Source organism: Homo sapiens, chromosome 6, assembly GCF_000001405.40.
Source record: "Homo sapiens chromosome 6, GRCh38.p14 Primary Assembly".
In the NCBI taxonomy this organism is placed as follows: Eukaryota; Metazoa; Chordata; class Mammalia; order Primates; family Hominidae; genus Homo; species Homo sapiens.
This window is the reverse complement of record NC_000006.12, coordinates 117,491,250-117,517,732: the sequence shown is the minus strand read 5'-3', so window position 1 is coordinate 117,517,732 and position 26,483 is coordinate 117,491,250. Positions and strand designations below refer to the sequence as shown.

The following is a 26,483-nucleotide window of genomic DNA, read 5'->3' as shown; positions in this document are numbered from 1 at the left end:
GGTGCAAGCCCCAAGCTTTGGCAGCTTCCATGTGGTGTTGAGCCTGCAGGTGCATGGAAGTCAAGAATTGGGGTTTGGGAACCTCCACCTAGATTTCAGAAGACGTATGGAAATGTCTGGATGCCCAGGCAGATGTTTGCTGCAGAGGCCCTCATAGAGAACCTCTGCTTGGGTAGTGCAGAAGGGAAATGTGGGGTCAGAGCCCCCACACAGAGTACCTACTGGGGTACCATCCAGTGTAGCTGTGAGAAGGGGGCCACCAGACCCCAGAATGGTAGATCCATTGCACCTGAAAAAGCGACAGACACTCAACACCAGCCTGTGGAAGCAGTGGGGAGGGAGGCTGTACCCTGCAAAGCCACAGGGGTGGAGCTGCCCAAGCATGGGAACTCACCTCTTGCATCAGCATGACCTGCATGTGAGACATGGAGTCAAAGGAGATCATTTTGGAGCTTTAAGATTTGACTGCCCCACTGGATTTCAGACTTTCATGGGGCCTGAGCCCCTTTGTTTGGCTAATTTCTCCCCATTTGGAATGGCTGTATTTACCCAATGCCAGTACCCACATTGTATCTAGGAAGTAATTAACTTGCTTTTGATTTTACAGGCTCATAGGCAGAAGGGACTTGCCTTGTCTCAGATGAGATTTGGACTGTGGACTTTTAAGTTAATGCTGAAATGAGTTAAGACTTTGGGGGACTGTTGGGAAGGCATGATTGATTTTGAAATATGAGGACATGAGACTTGGGAGGGGCCAGGGTCGAAATGATAATGGTTTGGGTGTCCCCACCCAAATCTCATCTTGAATTCCCACGTGTTGTGGGAGGGACCCGGTGGGAGGTAACTAAATCATGGAGGAAGGTCTTTCCCATGCTGTTCCCATGATAGTGAATAAGTCTCATGAGATCTGATGGTTTTAAAAAAAGGAGTTCCCCTGCACAAGCTCTTTTCTCCTGTCTGCCACCAGGTGAGACGTGCCTTTTGCCTTCCACCATGATTTGAGGCTTCCCCAGCTACGTGGAACTGTAAGTCCAATTAAACCTTTTGTAAATTGCCCAGTCTCAGGTATGTCCTTATCAGCAGCATGAAAATGGACCAATACACATGCTAAAGAGTCAGAAGATCGTGACCCAACTAAGCATTGCCCTTCTGGTATAAAGGATCCAATTTCTCTCTGTTTCAAGTTTCACATACTGAAGATGTGATAGAATAAGAAAGAAATGCTATATGCTTACCCTCACATGCCAAATTTCTAGCATTTCCTATCACTAAATTATGGTGAAATCTAAATAAAAGATGTTCACTTCCCTCTTTAGAAACACTCATCATACGTAATTACTTACATGAGTTAATACTTTCTTTTTTTTTTTTTTGAGATGGAGTCTCGCTCTGTCCCCAGGCTGGAGTGCAGTGGCATGATCTCGGCTCACTACAAGCTCCATCTCCTGGGTTCACACCATTCTCCTGTCTCAGCCTCCTGAGTAGCTGGGACTACAGGCACCCACCACCACGCCTGGCTAATTTTTTGTATTTTTTTTTTTTTAGTAGAGATGGGGTTTCACTGTGTTAGCCAGTATAGTCTCGATCTCCGGACCTCGTGATCTGCCCGCCTCAGCCTCCGAAAGTGCTGGGATTACAGGTGTGAGCCACCGCGCCCGACCAATACTTTCAAATTACTTAGAATAGTACTCAGCACATAGTAAGAGCTATATAAGTGCTTGTTAAAAATGAATATATTAAAAAATAAGTAATACCTATTTTCTCTTCAGACTGTGTTCCATAGTGCAAGGAACTTTTATATCCATCCCTTTATCTCCAACAGACTGCATAGTACCTGGCAGGTGACAGCCTCCCACAAACAGTTTGAATTGAATTGAAATGCTCTTTTTACAACAGTTTCTAAAAGCCAAATCCAACTAAGAGATTCATAAAATATTTTTAATCGTGTCACTTTTAAATACTATGGAGAAGTCAGGAAGAGAAGTGTAAAGAAACAAGAAAAAAATTTCTGTAATGAATAATATGGATTTTTATAAACTTTACTCTTGCTCACAAGCACAGCAGATAGGCAATTCAGACTAAATAAGTAGAATGATAAGCATTTTTGCAAAGTTAAGGTGAGTCAGATTGCTGTACTTGCCTTTTCCAACTTATTCTGTTTGTTTTAGATATGTTTGAAATTCCTCTGTTCTTTGCACAGATAAGAGGGGTGAAGACACTTGCTTTGTAAACCTAAGGATGAATATTGTGAAGTAACTAGTAACTTGTTGCTTTTAATAAGTTAGAATATTTTCAAATCACATTTTTTTATATTAACCCAGTAATACACCCCTCCCCAAATGGTGATGATGATAGTAATCTCTCCTTAAATTTCTATAGCATTCCAATGAGTTCTAATGAAAACTGTAGGTGGCCAGGCACGGTGGCTCACGCCTGTAATCCCAGCACTGTGGGAGGCCAAGGTGAGCGGAGTCAGGAGGTCAGGAGTTCGAGACTAGCCTGGTCAACATGGTGAAACCCCATCTTTACTAAAAATACAAAAAAAATTAGCCGAGCATGGTGGTGGGTGCCTGTAATCCCAGCTACTTGGGAGGCTGAGACAGGAGAATTGCTTGAACCTGGGGGGTGGAGGTTGCAGTGAGCCACGATCCCACCACTGCATTTCAGCCTGGGTGATAGAACAAGACTCCGTCTCAAAAAAAAAAAAAAAAACCCACAAACTGTAAGGTAAGCAAGTCTAAATTGATTATCAGTGAGAACTTGCTTAGATTTTTTTTTTTAGATTTTATGAAACAGTTGAAAGGAAAAGTTGCAAAAAGTATACATATTTTACACAAATGAGAGTGTATACCATCATACTAAGTTGTTGTGCAATATATATGATTTCCTAGACCAAAAACATGTAAATATAGTAAAACTCTAATTTGGTTTCATCCTCCCAGTTATGATAGGCATGTAACTATTTCTGGAAGCAGATCAAAGAAGGAAAATGTAAACACATGCCCCTTTAATTACCCTTACCACACAGACATCAATCCCTTTCATATTTTTATTACTGTGCTGCAAAATTGTAACTAGAGGGGTAGGAGATACCCTCTCTATATAAATATCATCATTGAGAGGATTTTTTTTTTTTTTTTTGAGACAGGGTCTTTCTCTGTCACCCATGTTGGAGTGCAGTGGCGTGATCACGGCTCCTCCTGGGCTCAAACAATCCTTCCACCTCAGCCTTCCAAGAAGCTGGATTACAGGTGTGTGCCACCATGTCCAGCTAATTTTTTGATTTTTTTTGTAGAGATGAGGTCTCACTACATTGCCCAGGTTGGTCTCAAGCTCCTGGCTTTAAGCAATCCTCCCATCTCAGCCTCCTCAAAGTGCTGGGATTACAAACATGGGCCACAGCGCCTGGTCTGAAGAGTTATTTTGATCATTTCATCATAATCACAAACATCAGAATAGCAAGAATGAGTTTTAATTCAGGGTGGGGGATAAGAGTTGAATACTGGCTGTAGTATTGCCTATGGCAAAACATCCAAATTATTGCCTGTCTCAAGGTCTGACAGACGAAAATTCCTTTCATAGACTAGAAGTTAATAATTACATTCCTAGAGTTAAAAGGCAAGAAAGAAAAATGGAAAAATATGATAGCATTGAGAGGGAAAAATAATTAATGGGAAACCACGGAAAGACCCTGGGAGTCTGTCCTAAGCAATGTCCTCAGTGCTCCGCCAGACTCCTTTAAGGATAATCTCTTGTCTTATGAAAGAAAATCTTTCTCCACTCACCCCTGCCCACGTGATATACTTCACTGTTGGTACTCTCCAAAGGTCTCCTGACTTTTAAAAAGGATCTACACCTATATTTAAATGTTTACAAAGACAATTTCACTGGAAACCCACATGAGAGCGCGGTGACTTCTAACTTTGATTGTGGTTATATTCTTGGGCTCAGGCAGTGTTCTTAGATTGGCAAAAATACTTCAATTCAGTCAGACTGAAATCCAACCCCTTCCTAAAAATAGGATGCACAGTTTTGCATGGATGTTTGCTTCAGAACCAGCAGTGCTACGTGTTTTATAGCACTTGGACTTGCCACCTAACTTCCTACTATTCTCTCACTTCTATCTATCCCTGTCTGCAAGGCAGGTTCCATCTTACTTTGCAGTCACAAATTCCCATCACACTGGAGTGCAGCAGTTAATCAAGTAGGCAGAAAAATCAGGAAAAAAGAAAAACTTTTATCTTTTGTGGAATGTAACTGGCGGCCCTATATTGTGGGAAGAGCTATCAGAGATACCAAATGGAACAGCACTGTGGCATTTGGCACCAGACATGAGACTCCAGCAGACAATGGGCTGATTCCTTGGACAAAGGGAATAAAGGGCCAGGAACTGTAGGAGTTGCCTTCTTTGAGCACAGTAGGTCAGTTCCTCTCAGCACATTCCCTGTTTCGGGCTACTATTTCATTAGCAGCTGCAAGGGAAACCCTTTATCTTTCCATGTGTGAATAAAAGAAAGCTGTCCTATAAGGAAGAATAAACTGTCTGCTACAAGCCAAGTCTGAAATCCTCTTGATTCTCTGGCAATCTGACAATCTGTACAGCAATGTATAGTACTTCTCTATTCTCCTGGACTGTGTGCCCAAGACTCTGGGCATTACAAGGCAATGATGGTTTGGTTAAAAACTGTTTGTTCCAAGTCACTTCAGATGGATATAAGGTTTTGATCTTAAAACTAATAAAACTAAGTTATTGTTTTATATATAGAAGGGACATGTTTGAAAAATAGTATGCATGTCATTAGAGAAACAAAGAAACCTCTTTCCCTTAGTAGTATTATTTCTGATTTTTTTTTTAACTACCATACTGTCAGTGGGAAAAACCACTGAGAGATCAAATAAAAACCTAACTCCTGAAAGGTCTGTCATAAATCGACAACAACAACAACATAAAACCTCCAAAAAACCCTCATTAACCTTCTGGAGCATCATCTGAAGCACACAATTCTTTCTTATGACAGATAAGAACATGCCTGATTGACCTAAGTGACCCTCCCTGGGAGTACATGTGGGTGGAGACAGCCACATGGAATATTTGGCTGCCAGGCGAGTGGTACTTCTCGTGGCCCAGATCTGTGCTCAGAGGTATGCTGATAAAACAATCTCCAGAAATGCTGAAGCTGCAAACACCATTAGATTTGTGTCCATTTTCAATTTGTTTTTGATGCAGTCAAATCGCAGATTTGTCCTTGCTTGCTAATTGCAGTAGGGTCATTGTACAACATTACAGAATTTTCAAGGCCATTTTCTTTGAAAAGGAGAGAAATTAGCATAAAAAAGGGATATTCCTGGACTGTGCCATTAAAACCATAGTCACGTAACAGTAAGTGGTATCCCTGGAGAATTTTGGTCTCTCATTCCCACACAAAAATCAGTGACAGATGATAAATGAAGCAGGCGGATTCTTAGACAAAGGTGTGGCTTTCCTTGGGGCTACAGGACCCAGGTCAAGAAGTGTGTCAACGCTGGGAGTTCACAACCCACTTAAGCCATTACTTCTCTCCCAATGAAAGATGGCAATTACTGAAACTGAATCACAGTGAGTCTCCAGGGAAGTATTTATGGGGAAAGAGGAGGAGGAACCCAATAGCTTTTTCTCCTTGAGGCTTATGGTTGTGTTAAAAAAAATACCTAGAGTACAGCATTCTGGCTGATATAACGTTTTATATGTTCAAGATTCTTTCTGAATTCTATCTTGGCATAAAAGGCAAAATAAAACAAACAAAGAAAAAGCAGTCCTTCTCAATAATTTCCACCAAAGTAGCCTCAACCATAGAGGAGGACGCACTTCTAGGGTGTCTGCAGCCCAAAACAGCTCTCTGTGAGCTGGAAATTTCCTTGAAGTCTATTTGTTTTATCTTTAAAAGCCATAAAAATTTTTCCTTCTACTTCATAATATGTCTGAGAGACATATAAACCATTTGTAAAACAGAGACTGTCAATCTTGCGCTTTCCCCTCTTTGGGATTTAAAAAACTTCAACAGATAAGTTGTAATTATTAGATCTTATTGCAATATGTCAGATATGTATCATTCTAAAAAATGACATGCAGAAACCTGTTGTGATTATGAGTCTAACCACTTCGCATTATTTCCAACTATTCCTATTTCTCTCATTCCTAGTGTAACATAAACATTAACAGTTGACTTCACATGATTGTGCTTCTAAGTCACTGACAATGCTTAAAAAAATATTGTGATTGGAAGTGGAGGTACAGAAAACGTAGGAGAACAATTTTTGAACTTCCTGGTGCAAATCATTATGCAGAACACAACCAATTTAACTTCCATTAGGATCCTATAGTAAAGAGTTTCTTTCTATCACTGGCCACCATGCCTCCTCTTAGCATTTTGACTAAAAAACATTTTTTGAACTTTCAACTTATACTGGAACTCTACGTAAGTGATTTCTCAGACTCCCACTTTATTCTCCGGATACTCCTGTGGAGAGGCCTGGAGAAGTTTCCATTTCTTCCAGCAAGTGACGAACAAGAACTACACCTCAGGTCTTCTTATGCACAAGCCACAGGAACAGATGGCTTTCAACACAAACACTGAATCGGATGGTGCAGAGCTAAAGAGTAGGGCCTCTGGGCATTTGAGCAGGGCCTCAAATGCCCAGACTTGAATCCCAGGTCCCGCTAAGTGATCTTACAAGCATGTTAGTTGGCCTTCTTTGAGCTTCAGTTTCCTTAGGTGTAAAGGTTGGTAACAGGACCTATCTCACAGGGCTGTTATAAGGGTTAAATGAGGTAGTAACGCTAAGGTTTACTAAGCCCAGTGCATCGCACATAGTTGAATGCTCACTCACAGGCACCTTCCACATTATTACATGGTCTTTTCCACATAATAAGCATAGTTTTAAAATTTTATGTAAACCAAAGCTTTCTTTAAATGCAGAGGGAATGTTTATAGAGGAATCTTAGTGTAAATTTCCCTACAGTGTGAATAATGACACTCCAATTTCTCTTTTGTAAAAATCCAGATTTTTTAATATGTTTGCCAAAATCAAGCTACTTATAATCTCAGTCCTAAAACACTGACTGAACATCTGCAATTGTAAGACGATGCTAAATATTAGGTGAATAAAAGAGCATGAATAAAACGTAATTCCTGGCTCAGGGCATCCCGTATCTGACAGAGAAGCTAAAATAATTATCCCAACCCGAAACTGATGCTCTACTGAAACTTTAGAAAGAGAACATGAGCACAGAAAAGGGACAAACTGATGAACATCAGAGAAGGTTCTAGGGTAGGCAGCCCTGAATTTGAAACTTGAAGGGTTTACTTTTACGTGTGTGTGTGTGTGTGTGTGTCTGTGTCTGTGTGTGTGTCTGTGTCTGTGTGTGTTAGAAGGGACAGAAAAAGCAGGAAAAGAAGAAAAAGAGGGGGACATGGAAGGAATAACATCAACGACTGTAAAAATGTACTAGGCCATGAAACCGTATGATGCATTTGGGAAATGGCATGGAGATGAAGGACTCAGAGATGAGGCTAGAAGTGAGAGTGAAGAAGAAAGCAAGATGATGCATCAACGCTAAGCTAGCAAGTTTCTGTAGAAGTGGGGCACAATTAACAATTTTTGAACTAAGGAAAGAAATTATTGCAACTATTTTTAATTACACAACATTAGATGGCCTGGAAGGAACTGAGACTGGTGAAAAGAGAGAGGAGAAAAATCAAGAGGTTCTTCAAGGAGAAAAAGATGCAAAGACGTAGACTGGCAGTGGCAGTGAAGTAAATAAAACAACCAAATTGAATATACTGTGGCTTGGAGAATATGTGTTCTCTGTTCATCTCATGAGGCTGGGAAAACCTGTATATGGAGCTAGTTCTGGTTCAGTGAACCCTTGCCACCAGCTTGGCATGATTTGGGCAAACTCTTGGATTACCAGGAATCCACCAGGAGGAGTAGGGTAGGGTGTGCTGCTGGAGCTCAGCCTCTGCCTGGTGAACAGAGAGTGCTCAGGGTATTACGAGGGGAACAAGGGCACATCTTAGACAAACAATATTAACAGTAGGCAAGACAACTCAGGAGGAGGAAGAAGAAGAGGCGGCTGGGAAGAGGGAGGGGAAGAGTAAAGTAGAGGGGCAGAGGATAGGGAAGGAGGAGGAAAAATAATGGCTAACGTTGACTAAGTGCTTACTATGTACCAGGTGTCATCCTTTAAAGTCATATATAAGTGTGCCAGTCACCTATATGTGGTAGATACTATTATTTTGCCCATTTTGTTTTATTTTATTTTGAGACAGTGTCTCCGTCTGTCACTCAGGTTGGAGTGTTGTGGCACGACATGGCTCACTGTAGCCTTGACCATCTGAATTCAAGTGATCCTCTTGCCTCAACCTCCCAAGTAGCTGGGACTACGGGCATGTATCACCATGCCCAGCTAATCTTTGTATTTTTTGTAGAGATGGGGGGTTGCCATGTTGTCCAACCTAGTCTCAAATTCCTAAGCTCAAGTGATTCATCCACCTCAGCCTCGCAAACTGCTGAGATTACAGGTATGAGATGTCGCACCTGGCCTGCCCATTTTAAATATGAGGGAATAGAGACACAGAAAGTTTAAATAATTTGCTCAAGGTCAACCAATTTAGAAATAAGCAGTCAGGGCCAGGCGCGGTGGCTCACACTTGTGAGTAGGCAGGAATTTGAGGCAAGGGAGTCTAATTACAGAGTTTGTGCTCTTAAACACACGTGTAATATCTATGCAGCAACAAAAATTTCAATCCATTTTCAAGGCCAGCCTGGTTTTATTGATCTACACTGATCCAGGTGGTAACGTCTAGAAGTCTCCATCAGAACAACCTCCTTTGAGACCCTGAGATGCCTATGAAGACTGGCCAGCGTCTGGTTCCTACCAAGACTGCTCCAACAGCTCTTCAGGCAGTCCCGGACCCACCCCAAACTCCATCCAGTGTGGAGGTCACCTTTCAAGGGAAAACTCGGACCCAACCTTATTGAAAGATCAGGAAAACAGAAATGACCTCCTCTGAGGTCCCTACAGGCAGTGGGGGCAAAAACAAACCTCTGAGTAAATTCAAATCTCTAAGTCCATTCTGGTCAGCAAGACTGGAAATGGAATTTACCCAGAGGGCAAGTCAAGGTTACATGGTCACTAAAGAGCTGTAAAGTTAAGAGTAGTATCTTTAGTATGAATGCAAAGTCTTCCCTCTTCAGTGTTATAAATAAATACAACATTATATATTTAATATTTTAAATTTGTGTATATTAGTGTGACACAATGCCTGAATCAGCAGCTATTTTTCCTCAGAGTGTAAGATATTTCAGTGTTTTATATAACTAACCTCCTGTTATTTTACCACATATATGTAAAATGAGGGAGGGGGGAACTGAGAACAGGACCAAGGCAGTCATCTTAAATGTCTTACACAATATGTTTAAATTTAAAGAGATGTTATTTAATAAACCACTTGTCTGAATCTCCAAATTCCAGGTTTCAAAGTGTGTTCAATCCTAGAACAGCCTGGGTAGGCTACCTTAATCAACTTTCTATTATCTTATGTGTCCAAATTTCTCCAAAATTGTCTTCTACAAAAAGGCAACACCTTATATTTGAGTCCTTTCAAAGTTTCATATTACATGGGCCTCTTTGAAGAACAAAGAACTGCTCCAGGAAGACACTTCAGCTTGAAATAACCTAAAAATCAATGCAGTTTTGATAGAAAAAAAGAAGAGTCATTTAATCAAACAGTCAAGAGGGAAGCAAAGAAATGTAATGCAGATTTAGTTCTCATTCTTGAAGGGACACATGACCTCATAATTTCTAATGTTAGAAACTGTTATAAGCAAGCCTTTTAAAGATTACTTTAAAAAGTAGTAGTATTATGTCTGCCCAGAATATATAATCTGAATTCAATCACAAGGAAACATCAAACCAACTCAACTGACAGACATTCTGTAAAATAACTGGTCAGTATTCTCAAAAGATGAAGGAAGACTGAGAAGTCAGGACAAGTAACTGCTTTATGATCCTGAATTGGATCACAGACTGGAAAAGGGATATTAGCATTTTTTCAAAGGGAGTCTCAGTTACTTTGGTCTGTTAAACAAAAACCTAGAATTCCCTTAGCTATAGTGAAAATGATATCTACTAAGAAAAGTATGATACTTCTTAAAGATTTTTTGTTTTGTTTTGGCCAGGATAATATTAATAGCACACATATCTCAGTGTCTTAATTCAGCCACAGGCATACAAGTACATTCTTCTAATGGATTCTTGAATCTGAAAGATCAGCCGTAATTATAATATATGACAAACAGAAGAAGAATAATCCCATTTTGTCTGTATTAGGAAACAGTGAGATCAAGTGCATATTTTGCTGGATTACTGTGAAAGTTGTTGTGGGTGTTTACACTTGTTTACAATGCATTTTTGTTAGCAAGAATGTGAATTACCAAAATACCCAAAGTATATAAACCAAATATTTAAAACAAAATTGACATGGTGGGGAACCATTAAAAATTAACTGCATAATGATGAACACTATACAACTTTAGCATATTCACAATGGTTAATGTAATCACATTCCAAGTATGTCCACTCTTGGCAGACACTGCAAACATTAATGCCAGAAAACATTATTCTTTTTCAAAACATTAACTCCACATTCAAATTCTGATAGTTTTAAGTTTTAAAATCCTTTGGCAGTGGGTTTTAACAATTAGTTGGTTAATAAAAAATATCGGGCAGGATAAACTAAAACGATTCTTCTGTTTCAGCCACACACAGAATCATTAGAAGCCACCATATTTTGGAATTAAATGTGGTATTCCAGAACATGCATTCTCTCCCTGCTGAATTTCAGCAGACATTCCCTTCTTTTACTGGTTCAGGCAATATAGCTCTGGATCCTTGGGACACTGCAAGGGCACTAGGGCCTTGCCTCTGCAGCCATGCCAGATCCTGTGGCCACATCAGCTTGCAGAGGTGCCTCCCACCCTTCCACCCTTCCAGGAAGCTGGGCAACAGCTGCACAGGAATGTCCACTCTCTGAGCGCCAGCCACTGAAAGACAAAGCACTTCTGTCTCCTCCTCCTTCTGCATTCCTGGAGGATGTTCAAACAGACCAGGGGTTTATTTAACTAAGTTAAAATATAGGTCTGGTTAGTGTTTTTGGTCAAAGGAAATCTTTAAAGTAGCCACAACACAAATTCTGAGCATCACTACATAGTTTATCTTAAGCACATCCTCAATCAAAAATACTACCTACTTCTTGTGTTTTAGACGAAATTGCTGTATAATGTAATAATGGGCCAGTCCACCTGGGAAGGATGATAGTGCAATGTGGTTTTTTTGGTGATGGTGAAACCAGGAGACAACAGCAGTGGGAGTAGGTGTCTTGCAGCCACAGAGACACAGATATAAATCTCTCTTTCACCCCTAATTGTACACTCTTGGGATCTTGGGCATGTTCACCTAATCACACTGTGCCTCGGTTTCCCCACCTGTGGAAAGGCATTGATAATATTTACCTTGGAAGGTGGATTAGGGGATTCTAGAAAATATATGTAAGAGCCAAGCAGGTGCCTGGCATACAATAGGCACTGAATATGTTTATTTCTATAATAATGAATGATAATAATAATACAGATGAGCATACATTTTATTTTCAAAAGACAAACGTTCAATTTATACAGAAAAAAATTCAAGGAGAAAAATTAATTGGCTTTATTGCTGCGAATGAATTGCAACTCATTATTCATCTTCTAGTGATGCATCTAAGCTTGAAAGCTCAAGAACCTAGAAATGGGGAGGATAACACCCTGAGGCAGACCATGATCACCTTGCAAGCTAGCTTGAGATACGTAGCTAATTCCATTCTTTTCTGCCTTTTTTCTCTTACAATGTAGAGATGGGGGTCTCACTGTGTTGCCCAGGCTGTATCGCTTGAACTCCTGAGCTCAAGCGATCATTCCTCCTAGGCCTCCCAGTGTTAGGATTACAGGCATAAGCCACCGCCCCTGACCTTTTCTGCCTTTGTGTATATTTATGAATATACCTCAAAGATGATGGAGGAAACTCCCTGGTGTGGGAAAGCCACATCCATTCTCCACATCCTGCTTTGGGAAGATTTGCTTCCCTTAGTTGCTGTCACTTCAGCCTCTGACGTGACAGAGTCTTATGCAACAAAATGATTCCTCCACTGTTATGTCAGCAGGTGGAATGAAATGCTCATCTTCCAGGCAAGGCAGATGCTTCCCCCAAGAGACCCGTGTGGAAAAGCTGCTTCCGGCCCTGCAGCACTTTGCATCACTTTTCACACTGCAGCTCTGACACTTACCCCCTCCTCAGAATCTGAGAGAAATCTCCTGGCTAATGAGGGACTCCCTGACAAATGCCTCCATAAGTTAATACACATTAGATTACCAGAGGTAATGGAACAATAAATGTTCCCAGGGGCCTTCAGCATCCCTGGAAGTGTCATCCTGCCCATTTGAGTCAAACTACAGTTAAAAAGTTACCAACAATTATATGGAAACTACCATCTTGACTTTGTCGGAGGAACTCAACCATCATTAAATAGACAATGCTCCTAGGGATTAAAAAACAATCAATGCTCCTAGGGATTAAAAAACAATCTTAGATCTTTTTATCCCATGGGAGCTAGTTTAGATTTCTGAATCGTCTCAGGGCTGATCTGGGCTTCTAAACTGTGGGAAGAGGCAGCAGGAATGAGGAAGCAACTCTGGGTGCAAAGGTCAAGACAGGTGAGAAAGCTGTGTGTGTTTGAGAAATTATCAGTAGAGCTACCAGGCAGACAGGATTTTACCTAAAACCTATATCATTTTAAAAGTTGTGTGCACAGAGAATTTCAGAAAATCTCTATACTCAAAAGAATGTATGTAAGATTTTGTTATCGTTTTCAAATTGTCCAACCTGAGCTATTTCCTTGGGCTTAGGATCAAAGGGTCATTGTTACTGTGATTTCAGGTTGCAGTGCGCTAACAGCACATCTCAAAGCACAAAACACTAAATTTCAAAGGCTATTTAGGAAACTGACCTTTGCACTTGCTGTTTTCTTCCCCAGAAAATTCTGACCTCAGTCGTAACGGAACAGTCCATTCCCTTACCTCGTTTTGGGTCTCTGCTCAAATGTCCACTTACTGATGATGCCTCCCTACCATCCCATTTGAAGTGGCACAAAAACACTCAAACGCAGGCTCTACATCACCTTTGGATGCCTTCGTTTTCATTATTCCTTTTCTTTCTCACCATCTCTCATACTACAGATGCATTTGCTTATTTTCTGCCTTCCTCTCCCCACAGATGCAAGTTTCATAGAGGAACTTTGTTTTTTCACTGTTACATCCCAGTTCCTGACAGAGTACCTGAAACATGGTCACTGTTCTATTCAATAAATATTTGTCAAATGAATAATGAACTGTATAGATGGTTTACCAAATGTCACGTATCTCTAATTCTCTTCCTAGCAGCACTGAAACTCTAACAAAGGTTCTGAGACACACACACAAGGCTCACATCTCCTTAGATGTCTTTTGCTGTTTCAGCTTATGAAGCAAATGTATCCTTCTAAGTTACCCCCAAGAATTTACAGAAGCAAGTTTCTCTTCTAATCTTCTCATGATATAGCGTTAATTAACACACCACTTGCCCTTCTCTGCAAATATCAAAAATTTTGATGCTCAGAGAAACCTAGTTCTCTTTTCTTACCATATTGATCTGAAGAGCTGGTGAAGAGAAGATAGTCAGAAGCACAGGTCTGGGATTCGATATCCAAATCTCCCAACCTCAGAATCAGTCTTTTCCCCTTTGGTACTGTAATTGTCTTTTCGCAAACAGTGTGATTGGGGTAGGTCCCGGGATAATTCTTAGATGTCATTGTGCCACTATCCTGATAAGTCACTAGGTGTCCACAGCCATCACCTGGTAAAGAAAAAGAAGGGGGGAATAAAAGAAGAAGGGGTCATTAATTCTTACTGAGGATTGAGAGTCCAATACAATCTCCAAGTTATGTATTTTATTGTTTTTGGGCAGAAGGAAAACCAAAAAACAAAAAAAGAAGACTGAATTATTAAACAATATCTATTGTTTCAGGTTATTTCATCTCTTGTTTTCCAGTTTTATCTTCTTGTTGATCAAAACATTTCACACATTAGAACGGAAAGCCCTTAGGAAACAAATCATTTAATCATTATTTTTTCTAATCATCTATCTCTCCACCCGTCCAAACTTGCTCAGCAGGCCTTGCATGCATTTGCCAAGCCAAATGTCATGTAATAATTCACAATGGAGAAAAAATATTACTCACTTTAGAAGGTGGTTGTGCTGATTAAATGAGATAATGTACAGAAAATGCTCCTGTTAGAATCTGAGGCTTAAGCTGATGTAACTTTGTTTAGCTACAAGTCATTTAGCTGGGGACTGAGCCTAATAATCATTTGAAATGTATGTCTTAGTTAATGACACTCACAGATTCTAAAGTTCCTCATAGACTTGGGATGTACAATCAGAAAATGTCAAGGATCTACTATGTTGAGTGCTTTTCATAACCAGACATGGTATTAAAAGCTGGAAACACAAAAGCAGCACTTGCTGTCTCATAGAACTCAGAGTAAAATGGCAAATAGTCACACATTCAAATAACTATAATTCTAGGTGCTATGTGTTATATATACATCAGGGGTCTAAACAAAATGCAAAGGAGAGAGGCAAGAAAGAATGTTGCAGCGAATTACCAGCATTTCATCAAAACAAGAAATTATCTGAAGACTTTTCTGAATAGGGAAGTTCACCTATTAACCTACAAGTTGCTCTAGTTGATTGAAGTGACTTAGTCAATCACACAACTATCCAAGGACATGCACAACTGGGTGGGCTGCAAGGAGAATGAGCATACACTGCATTCAGATTGCAAAATGTCTGTGGTTAGCACAGCTTCACATAAATGAAGCAAAAATTTCTGGTCTCAGCTGGAGGGAGAGAAGCAGAAAGCTGTTGAAGAAGGAACTCTCAAAGGTAGTAAAAGAAGGCCTCTCCATCCCAAAGTCTCTGATGGAGAAGCCTCACCTTGGGTATACTGTGAATCTGAGGACCTCAAAGCAGCCCTCTTCCCTCCCAGCCTCTTCCCCAGTTAGAGGTGGATTCAGGAGTCTTCCTTTATTCCACTTCCTTCTTGCCTTGAGGTGTTGGGGCCAAATGGTAATAGAGGTTTATTAAAAAATAAAAAGAAAAAAGAAAAAGATTTGAAAACTCCAGAATCTACATCATCTCAACAGCCAAGGCCTAGGGAAAGGATCTACCCATTATCCAGAAACTCCCACGAGATTCCTGGCAGCCCCTGACAGAGGGCTGAATTGGGGAAATAGAGTTGGCTTTAATGGACCAATGGGTTAAGAAGTGCCGGGGGGAACTTTAGACAGCCAAGATAAAACTACTATGAAGCCCTGAGATCTAGGCAGAATTAGTGAAATTTACATGGTAGGCAACAAAGACACATAGAATTTTTTGAGTAGGAAGATAACGAAACAGGTATTAGAAAAAGATGATCAACCTGGCTGGACAACGCTACAGGAACTAGAATGGGGACAGAATCTGGATCAGAGGAGCAGTAGGCAGGCTAGCAATGGGGGTAGCTGGAACAGGAAGGAAGGGAACAGAAAACAGGCAAATTCTTGAGACAAAATCAACAGACTCAGGTTTGGGGGAACTATGGTGAGAAGAACAAAGGAGAAAAAACACCAAGGCCTTGTTCAGTCCAGAAATGATTGCAACACAGAGGCCAATATAGACAGCAAAAAGAGTCCAGAGAGGGAGCAGGTTTGGGCCCAAAGGTTGTAAGTTTGGTTAAGTTTGAGGTGACGGCTAAATTCCTTGGGCTCCCTGGCAGTTGGTAAACACAAAATTGCCAAGAATTAAATGAAAATGATACAAGAGAGAAGCATAGTGTGCAGGAGCACACAGTGCACGGGGCTTTGATTTGAAATCTGAATTATTTGTCGGCTTTAAAGGGCTTTAATAAAATATCCAATTTATAGTTTCTCTTTAAAACTGAAGGACAAACTGGGAGTGGTGGCTCATGCCTGTAATTCCAGCATTTTGGGAGGCCAAGGCAGCGGATCACCTGAAGTCAGGAGTTCGAGACCAGCCTGACCAACATGGTGAAACCCTGTGTCTACTAAAAATACAAAAATTAGCTGGGCATGGTAGCGCGAGCCTGTAATCTCAGCTACTCGGGAAGCTGAGGCAGGAGAATCGCTTGAACCCAGGAGGCAGAGGTTGCAGTGAGCTGAGATCATGCCACTGAACTCCAGCCTGGGCAAGAGTGAGATTCCGTCTCAACAACAACAACAACAACAATGACAACTGAAAGACGTGACAACCACATGATCAGGCATTCTCACAGGGCTAGTGACACAGTGGCTGTCCCTTGAAAGGAGCCAAACACCCTAGTTCTTCACCAGGTCCTTGTTACTCATTTCTGTTACCTGCCCTACCTTTGTAAGCATTTATTTTGAGCACCCTCATAAAGCAATCCTAGGGTAATTAGTACAAACAAATATGCATCTCAATATAAACACAACACAACCTCTCCAAGCCACCAAAAAATCTCCTGATCAAATATTTAAATGTCACTTTTCTTAGGACTATGAAATTCTCCTTTCATAAAAGAGGAAGAGAAAAACTTTTTTTTTTTCAGAAAACAGTTAAATATGAAATAAGGAGCAATTATATGAGTCAACCTACATGTGACTATCATATTCTAAATTTTATTTTTTTAAAGTGACATGTGTCAGCAAAAGAAAATCTTAGGGTGTCACTGTTTTTTTTGAGACGAAGTCTCACTCTGTCGCCCAGGCTGGAGTGCAGTGGCAGGATCTTGGCTTACTGCAGCCTCTGCCTCCTGGGTTCAAGCGATTCTCCTGCCTCAGCCTCCCGAGTAGGTGGGACGACAGGTGCATTTACGTACGGCTAATTTTTTTGTATTTTTAGTAGAGACGGGGTTTCACCGTGTTAGCCAGGATGGTCTCGATCTCCTGACCTCATGATCCACCCACCTCGGCCTCCCAAAGTGCTGGGATTACAGGCGTGAGCCACCGCACCCGGCCAGGGTATCACTTTTATTCAGCCCTGTAATTGTATTTCTTTCCGACCACTTCCACTGTAAGGCCTAAGAGGAAACTTCTTTCACCCAGCAATGCTGGCACAATGCAGGCAAGTTCAAATCGTCAACATTCCCATCGTTACTTTGCCTGGGGATCTCTACCTCCTTGGGAAAATTTCTCTCTTCCATTAACTATCAGAACAAAACCCCATGAGTCTTTGTTCTGCCAAAGAACCTGAATCGCAAAGGAAGTGCTGAGTCCTAATTTATTAAAAAGCGAACTGTCATCAGAAGTTCTAGTATCACTCTAACCTATGGAAGTAGACTATTTATGGAGTTTTCTGTGGCAAGACTAATATAATAAGTTTATTCCATGGGTATTAACTACATCAGGAATTTTCACTCTCTTGTGCTTCCACAGTTTGGGTGATTTCAAAGGATTAAGTAGAAAGATGCCAAAGGGTAAAATGAAAAACTGCTAGGGAGAGAAAATGCCTACAATGTCATGTGTTGAAGAAGGCAGATGCGTACACATGAAAACCAATAGACAAGTATTATTTATTTATTTTTGAGACGGACTTTCGCTTTTGTTGCCTAGGCTGGAGTGCAGTGGTGCGATCTCAGCTCACCGCAACCTCCGCCTCCCAGGTTCAAGCGATTGTCCTGCCTCAGCCTCCTGAGTAGCTGCGATTACAGGCATGCGCTACCACACCCAGCTAATTTTGTATTTTTAGTAGAGATGAGGAGAAGCATTATTCTTATTACCTCATTCTGACACTCAGGTAGCCTACCTCTCATAGCCTGACTCTCTCTAATTGACAATCACTGACAAAGAAGACAAAAGTTACTTAAAAATCTATCAGTTTATCTTCTTTGTCTTAGGTATCAATGTCAGTATCCTGGTTGTGATATGGTATTGTAGTTTGCAAAGATGTTATAATTGAGGGAAACTAGGTAAAATGTATACAATATCTCTCTGTATTAGTTCTTCCAATTGCATGTGATCTACAATGATCTGAAAATAAAAAGGTTAATTAAATAATTGAAAAAATAATGTCAATCAAGTTTGCCTGGCTGGGGATGGAAGTGAGGAGGCTTTTACTTTTTCTATTTTATACTTTTTTATACTCTTTGCATTTTGTTATCCTGTATGCTTTTTCTCTTTTTTTTTTCTTTTTCTTTTTGAGACGGTCTCATTCCATCACCCAGGCTGGAATACAGTGGCACAATCACAGCTCACTGCACCCTCGACCTCTGAGGCTCAAGCAATCTTCCCACGTCAGCCTCCCAAGTAGCTGGAACTACAGGCACACACCACCACACCTGGCAGATTTTTTTTTTTTTTTTTGGTAGAGATGGGGGCCACACTATGTCGCCCAGGCTGGTCTGGAACTCCTAGGCTCAAGCGATCTTCCCGCCTTGGCCTCCCAAATGCTGGGATTACAGGTGTGCACCACTGCACCTAGCCTAAAATTCTTTTAATTAAAGCATTAAACAGATCTGCAAAAAAAAGCTCTCTATGAAATACAGTTGACCCAGTTTCTTCAGCAATGAATTAAATGAAGAGGCACACACAAAAAAGTGTTTATTTTAGATTTAAAAGACACTTATGTGCCATAGCAATTAAGTGAGACTTGCTTGAATCCTGATTTGAAAAACCAACCTTATAAAATCTTTTAAATAGATAATTGAGATATTAAATAATTTCAGATAATTATAATTTTATTAGGTGAGATAATGGCATTGAGGCTACATAAGAAAATGCCATTTTTTTGAGGGATGCCTACTGACATATGCAGGGCTGAAATGACATAAGGTCTGGGATTTGCCTTAAAATACCTGGCAAAAAAGAGGTGATGCAGAATAAATGAAAAAATACGGAGAAATGTTGATGGTTGCTATAGATGGATGATGAGGGCTCACAGTTCTAAGAATATTAAAAATTAAAAGAAATAAAGATCCATCTTTAAGGGAAAAAAATAAAACCACGATCTTATGATTAAACTCCAAGTAGTGTTGTGGGGAGGATAGGCCGGGAGTGACACAGTAAAGTGCCACCTATCTAACATCAAAATAGGGGGAATGGGGAATGAAGAGGGGAGGAGGAAGTTTTGCCACAGGGAATTTGACCACTCTTCAAAGTGGCTACACCACACAATGTTTATCTGTTCCTTCCTTTCGACTGTAATTTCTTGCCAAAGCACATGATGACTAAACTAAGTATCATTTCCTCCTCTTCTAGACTGAAAGCTCCTCTCAACTGTAGAATATTTCCAGGGTGGTCTCTCTGTAATGGGCCTAAATCCTGGTGTCTGTTTGGAGCCACAGCTGGTTTGTGACACTGACCACCACTTCCTCAAAACAATTTACAAGAACAAAACTAGATGTATGAAGTTTAGATTCTGGAAAAAGGTGCAAGTATTCATGAATATTTCAGAACTCCCAAAGTGATCTATGTACAGAATTTAAGTATACAGATTTTAATTCTGAACATTTGGAAACAATCTAAATTAGAAATGAACAGCCAAACTGATATCTCCAAGCAATGTGATGTTAAGGAAGTTACTCATGTTTTAGAAGAATATTTAACATGAAAACACTTTAATACAGAATATATTGTACACACATAGATGTGTAATATTTAAAGTGTTTACTTCTATGGTATAAGTTTACAAGTGATTTTCATTTTATTTATACATTTTTCCTCTAAATATTCTATAATATGAATACATATAAAGGAGAAAAATAATATAATTAAAACTACCAAATTCACCTAACATTCTTTGTAACACTAAAGGCTACTTTCAACATTAGCCTCATAATACAGATAGGAAGAAGTCACGGACTGTCATTAAAAATTCAGGAAACAAACAACTAGGAACTTAGTATACTGTAGTTCTCACTTCAAGAAGTCCAGTCAAGAGAAGAAAGATATATTAACAAGTAAATTCTTGAGACTAACTTGACAGAGTTACAGAGATATGGACTCAGTATCTATTCTCCAAATGCCTGAAATTAATGGATAGGTCTCTACCTTTTAGCTTTTAACATCAGCTATTCAAGAGTTGTCGATATACAAGCTACTTTCTAAATAAGCTTAGAACAAATCCTAGATGCTTGTATACACAAGCCAATCCTTTATTTAGTCTACTTTAATTCCATCCACTACAAAAGGAAAACAATAACTTCCTTAAAAGACTATTTCCCTTTGATAAGAAATCATGTTCCACTAAAAGAAAAGCAAAATAAGATATACCTGGTATGGACTAAGTTCTGCAATACTAGAAAGTATGATTAGACTTTAAAAGAAAACTTGTAACTGAATTGCACTTGTTGGAAAATGATTTGGGTGGAGTAAATTGAACAGTGCAAATATACTTTTTTTAAATTTTTTTTGAGACGGAGTCTTGCTCTGTCGCCCAGGCTGGAGTGCAGTGGCGCAGTCTCGGCTTACTGACCTCCGCCTCCCAGGTTCAAGCAATTCTCCTGCCTCAGCATCCCGATTAGCTGGGATTACAGGCATGTACCACCAAGCCCGGCTAATCACATATACTTTTTAGATTGATTATTAACTAGTCCTTAGAGTAAGACAGAAACCTCAAGCTTTTTTAAAATTATTATTATGGCCTAGAGTTAGAACACAGATTTTTTTATCACACCTCAAGTAATCACATATGCATACACATGCATAAACAATGAACAAAAGTTAAATGATACCACTATTTTATTACATGTAATGCACTGTGATTATTTCCTATTCTATTCAGTTTCATTTTTGTTTTTGTCAAAGCATACTGGTTGTGCCTACTGAAGTGATTTCATTACCTATTAATGGGTCCTAACCTGCAACTTGGGAAAGAGTGCTCTAAAATATCACAAAAGTAAAACCATTTCTAAAAACATGATTTCATTAGTTGTATCCTTGCTCTTCTAATATTCAAGTTACAACAGGTCTCAACACATATACAATCATCCATGTGTGGGTGTGAGAAAATTTCTTCCCATGTCTAAGATCAAGTGAGCTCTTGATGACTACAATCTTTTCAACCACAAAGGAGAGCTTGCAATTATTACAGAGTTTTGTCTGATGGTAGGGCAAACAGATTTTCCAAGATATCATTAATTCCATTCTCAGCCTTACTCTCTTAGAAACTTTGCTCTTCTTCAATTGTGCTTAGCTTTTTACCTTGTAGGCCGCCAGAAGCAAAAGAAAAACAGGAGCAAAAGGGCCTCAGTTGCTATGTGAGAATGAACAAAGGCAAAACAGAACTTGTAATGATAAAACAAAATAATTATTCAAAATCTTCAGTTTTTCTGAAAGGAATATGGATAATAATACTATGCTGAAAGAAGTTACAGCTATCGACTAGAAACACATGACCATGTTTTATAAAACTGACAATCTCTTTCAACTTTATTCTCACCACATATAAAATAGATGCTAATGATATGACTAGTGATCTAATAAGGATGATAATGCTGTTGACTCAGCAGATGAAACATTTGAAAGTAAAATAAAAGGAAACACAAGGAATATGTCAAAAGTCTCTCTGTGGAAACTTTCAACATTCCTATCAGCTAAAAGTGTCACTTAAAATAAATCAGTCTGAATGTATGAAAATGAATCAAATCATTTAAAGAGATCCTATCTACGATTCCTCTATGATTCCCTATATAATGTGGGATTACTTCCATCAGTGTCCAAAGACATCAATAATTACCATGTTAAGATATTTAAAAGATTCATAATTTGCTGCCAAAGGAAAAAAATCTCAAAATCTAGCCAATGCTATTCTTTAATGTGCTATACATAAAATCAGTGAACACTGCAGTTTTTGGTCACTCTCCAGTCTTGAGACTTCTGCTGAAAAGCAAAAGATTATTAGAAGGCTTGTGGATGTGGGGGAGGAGAGTTGACACACCTATCATTTCCTAATTCATAAATTATTTCCATATACTTGGGAGGTGACAGAGCATAATGGTTACAACCTGGATTCTGGCACAGCCCTGCCTAACACTGGCTTTGTGGCCTTGGGTGAGTCTTTTTACCTCTCTAAGGTAAAACTGAATTCCATCATCCATAATCTAAAGACAACAATAGTGCCCAATTTCATGAGCATTAAAAGGGAGAATGCTAATAAAAACAAAGTATCAAGCACAGAGGCAACCATATAGTAAAAATTCAATATGTTAACTGCTACTATTTTTATCTTAAAATTCTACACATTATTAAAGTATCAAAAATATTGCTTTGAATTAGCTGACTTTGTCCAAATTCCATCACCCATTGGCTGTATGATCCTAAGAAATCCCCCATTTAGTGTATATCAATTTTCCTCATCTGTAAAATTACCAACCATAACTGGGTGTGGTGAAGATGAATAAGGCTGTGTGTGTGTGCTTTAATCGGCTGAGAAAGTCTAATTAGAATGCATTTCCCAGTATTTATCTAATGCCCACTTACTGCTATGTCAGCATGTCCTGAAGTAGATACTGTGGTACTAGTCTGGGTGGTTTACCAGGGGGTTATGCCCTCACCCTCCTCAAAAGAGCTGCAAGGTCAGTAAGCTTGCAGAATTCCACCTTTTTCTTTACCACAGAACATCTCAAAGCCCTTACAGTGTATAGTGAAGCTCTGATGCGTGTTGCAGTTTACAGTATTTCCCAGAAAACTCTTTCCTCTTGGGGCATCTCCTGGGAGTAGTGCTCTGTGAGACATACTGGTGAACTCCTGGGTTAGACTCTCACAAGTGGGACACACAGAGAGATCCCATGATAGGGCTTCTGGGATTGAAGATCTTACGTGGAGAAGTGGACTTTGGCCTCTGGAGTTCTAAAAATGATACTGAAGTTATATTATGTGACTTGATTCAAAAGCAAGACTTTTCTCACTGTTGTTATTAAGTTACAAGTCCTTTGTGGGCATCTACAACAAACTGGACACATTGGTTAAGAGAAGTTTCTTAATTTCAAAGAAGACTTTTAAGAAAAAAAAAAAACTTGTTTGTACAGCGAAACAATTCTAAGACAACTGTTTTATCTCTGTTGAATAGATGCTTAGAATAAGGAAGTCAGAGAAAAGAGGCTGCTGACCTTTGTTAATAATGTCAGGATGTTGATGTAATATCCAAGCTGCCACTGCTTCAGCTGAAGATAAGTCAAGAAATCTTTCCTGCCGCTGGAACATGCTAGCTTTCTCACCTTGGTTTCATGTTAAATATGCATACTGCCAATATTCAGATAAAGTGTAATATTGATATTGACTTTTCTCTCTGGAGTCCAGAAAAATCCAATATTACCAAGTAAAGACAAAGTTAAACTGAGTTTTATAAATTAAAACTGTAAACACTTCTCCTTTGCACATAGATGTGAGCTTTCACTTTCACAGATAATAGTTTTTTAAAAATTGAGAGCCAAAAAGTTATTGGGAAAGGAAAAAAATAAAATTATGAAAGGGCCCTTACTAAAAACTAGCATTTACCAAACATTCATTGTAAAAAGTAGCAGATACAGTGTTCTAAGGACTTCATATTACCTTATTTAGCCTTCATGACAACCATATCTGATAATGATAGTTTTTAAAAATTGATTACAAATTATTTCACATATATACACACACACATATATATACAGATACACACATACAAAGAGTAATTTCACAAACATCAAAGTGTATACCCAGTAGCTTATAAGATAGGACATCTCCTATACAACAAAACTGAAGCCCACAAAACCCTTTCTTCACCACACATCCCTCCTATTATCTCTATTCTGTGTGTGAAGGAGTCAAGGCTCTGAGATGCAGCATAACTCAGCCCATGTGGCTGGGCTGGGATCAGACCCTAACCTGAAGCTAGTCTGACCTCAAAGACGATGGAATGGAATCATGTGCTCTAGTGCCACTACTGCCTAAGTCACCCATCTTAGAGGTGACAAAACTGAGGTAGCGATATTTAAGACATTGCCCAATCTCACATTACTGCTGAGCAGCATAACTGATATTTAGTTTTTTGTAGTCATACTCTTTTTGTCTCAAAATTAACATGAGAAAAAAGTCATGTTTAATTAGGAGTTTTTTTGTAAAAATTATGATATGAGAAGTTCTATCATCCCCTTTTTTAAATTATCGAAGTACTCTTTACTAGACTATTAAGGGAAAGGTCTAATGAGAGGTGCCTATTTTACTTCCAACAAAGGTTGTTCACTTTGCTTAGCTCCTGAAAGATGCTTTGTAAAAGAAGGTGTCAGTGTATTAAAGTGCTACTTCTCACACTTCAGTATGCAAACTAATCACCTGGGGATCTTGTCAAAATGCAGGGCCTGGAAATTCTACATTTCCAAAAAGCTCTTATTAGTGACTGTTCTGTTGGATCCTGTAAGATATATTCTGAGTAGCAACAGACTGAAAAAGCCCTCCTTATTAAGAGGGATATTGCCATGAATATTTTTTAAAGTGAAAGAAAATCCTCAAGATAAAAATTTTGTATGGTTTAATTTTAGTATCTATTCCTAAAATTGGAACACATCTGTATCTGATACTTATTTTCACTCCAGATTTCATTTATAAGTCTAGGACAGGCAACAATAAGTTCCACGATCTATAGTTAAGCCAAAATGGCATTTCTGAAACCTGGATAAAAGTGTCAATTCAGGAATTACTTGAGCATACTGTGGAAAATAAACAAAGAAATAGGATGGGAAGCTTTGTGCAAGCGTAGGTTTATGCACCATATCCACGGAACAAGCAATCAATGTTTACTGACAAGAAAATAGCAAATCTCACTGGGGAGACATATGGTGTCTTATCATACATCTAATAAGGTATGAAACATGAGAGTTGAGAGAAAAAATAAACCTCATAAAACTCATATCATAGTCCAGTCCTGAAAACTTTACTGCTTTTGCACATTCCATATTCTGCACTGCTGGATGTATTGCAATGCTATAAAAGCAATGGTTAGCTACCAGTAAGGACTTTAAAAAATCTTAATATTTCTATGGCAAATGTGATCACCTCAAATATAAACCAAAGACTATGAATTTCAGGCTTAATTGCATAAGTAACTCCCTCAAACTGTGTTCCCCTATGACTTCTTTTCTAACTTTTTCTCCCCTGGATAGGAACATATGATGGGTATCCTTGGAGACAAAGGGCAGGAAACCATTTCAAGGCATTTAGAATTGTAAGATACGTGCCTGGTTCCCACTTTGGGCACACAAAGTAAATGTGTCTTGGGTAAATAATTATTTCTCTGAATCTCAGTTCCCTCAATAGCTCTCAGAATTGTTGGGATTAAATTCGATGTAAAAAACATACAACGATTCAAAATACATATGAAGATAGAGGTTTAAAATTTGTCTATATGAAAAATCAGACTGGACAAGCAACAACAGTGATTGGATGCTTAAACCATACAGTGAATTGTTGACAGGGAAATACTTTTACTGAGTCAGAAACTAACATTCCAAAGATTACTTGTAACTCATAGAGAGACGGCAGTTTTATAATGGAGAGATCGATGTATCACTTCCTAAAGTCACTGGTGATTCTGAGCATCACTAAAAGTGGAGCAATAATCACAACAATAATAACATATGCGTCCTATTGTGATACAATTAGAAGTACATAGCACCTTTGAGTACTTTTACCAAAAACACTTAGTCTGAATCTAATCGAGTCTTTAGGTCAAATTTCGGGCTTATACAGAAATACAGGTATAGCGCACCAAGTAAAAGATAAACTACTCTGAAGCGGTGAGTACACTTTAGGACGTGAGCTGTGTCACAGAACAACTGAACCTGGTTTCCTCGCAGGAAAAGAAAAAGTATGTGGGTGGGGGTCAGTGATAGATTAAAAGTGACTAAAGAGACATAATAACTAATATGTAGACCTTGTTTGGATCTTTGTACAAACCAAAGGTTAGAAGACATGTTTAGGATAGCTTGGGAAATTTGAATATGACTTGAGTATTAGATGATATTAAAGAAAAACTATTAGTTTTCTTAGGTGTGCTCATAACATTGTGGCTATGCAAGAAAATATTTAGAGATTCAAATGAAATAGGAAAAAAGTCAAGAAATCCTTAATAAATTTTTAGTTTATTAATAGATTTTGAAGTCTCAAAAGACTTGTAGACCCTTCTGAGCTGGCAGTGACAGTAGGTACAGGGCCATTTTTCTGTCTGCAATAGGCCATCTCCTATTTTAGTCTCTTGGCAAAGCAGGAGCTTTCCAGGGATCCCAAAAAAATGGTGGGCGGAATGGGGGCAAACCTTGGTTCATTTTATTCTCAAAATAAGCAGCCTCCATTCTAAAATCCTCAGAATGGAAGCAATTCAA

At 39.2% G+C, this 26,483-nt stretch overlaps 1 protein-coding gene across 10 annotated transcripts in view; it reads right to left on the bottom strand.

Annotated features, from left to right (window-relative positions):
- The window catches only part of DCBLD1 (discoidin, CUB and LCCL domain containing 1), an 87,185-nt gene that overhangs the window by 52,126 nt on the left and 8,576 nt on the right, over nt 1-26,483 (bottom strand). For all 10 annotated transcript variants that reach the window (NR_158983.2, NM_173674.3, XM_047418676.1 and 7 more), the window contains one exon: nt 13,754-13,966. Coding sequence is in view for 9 of the 10 variants with exons in the window: in NM_173674.3 (NP_775945.1) it covers nt 13,754-13,966 (213 nt within the window). In the remaining variant the exon portion in view is untranslated. The remainder of the gene's footprint in view (nt 1-13,753; nt 13,967-26,483) is intronic.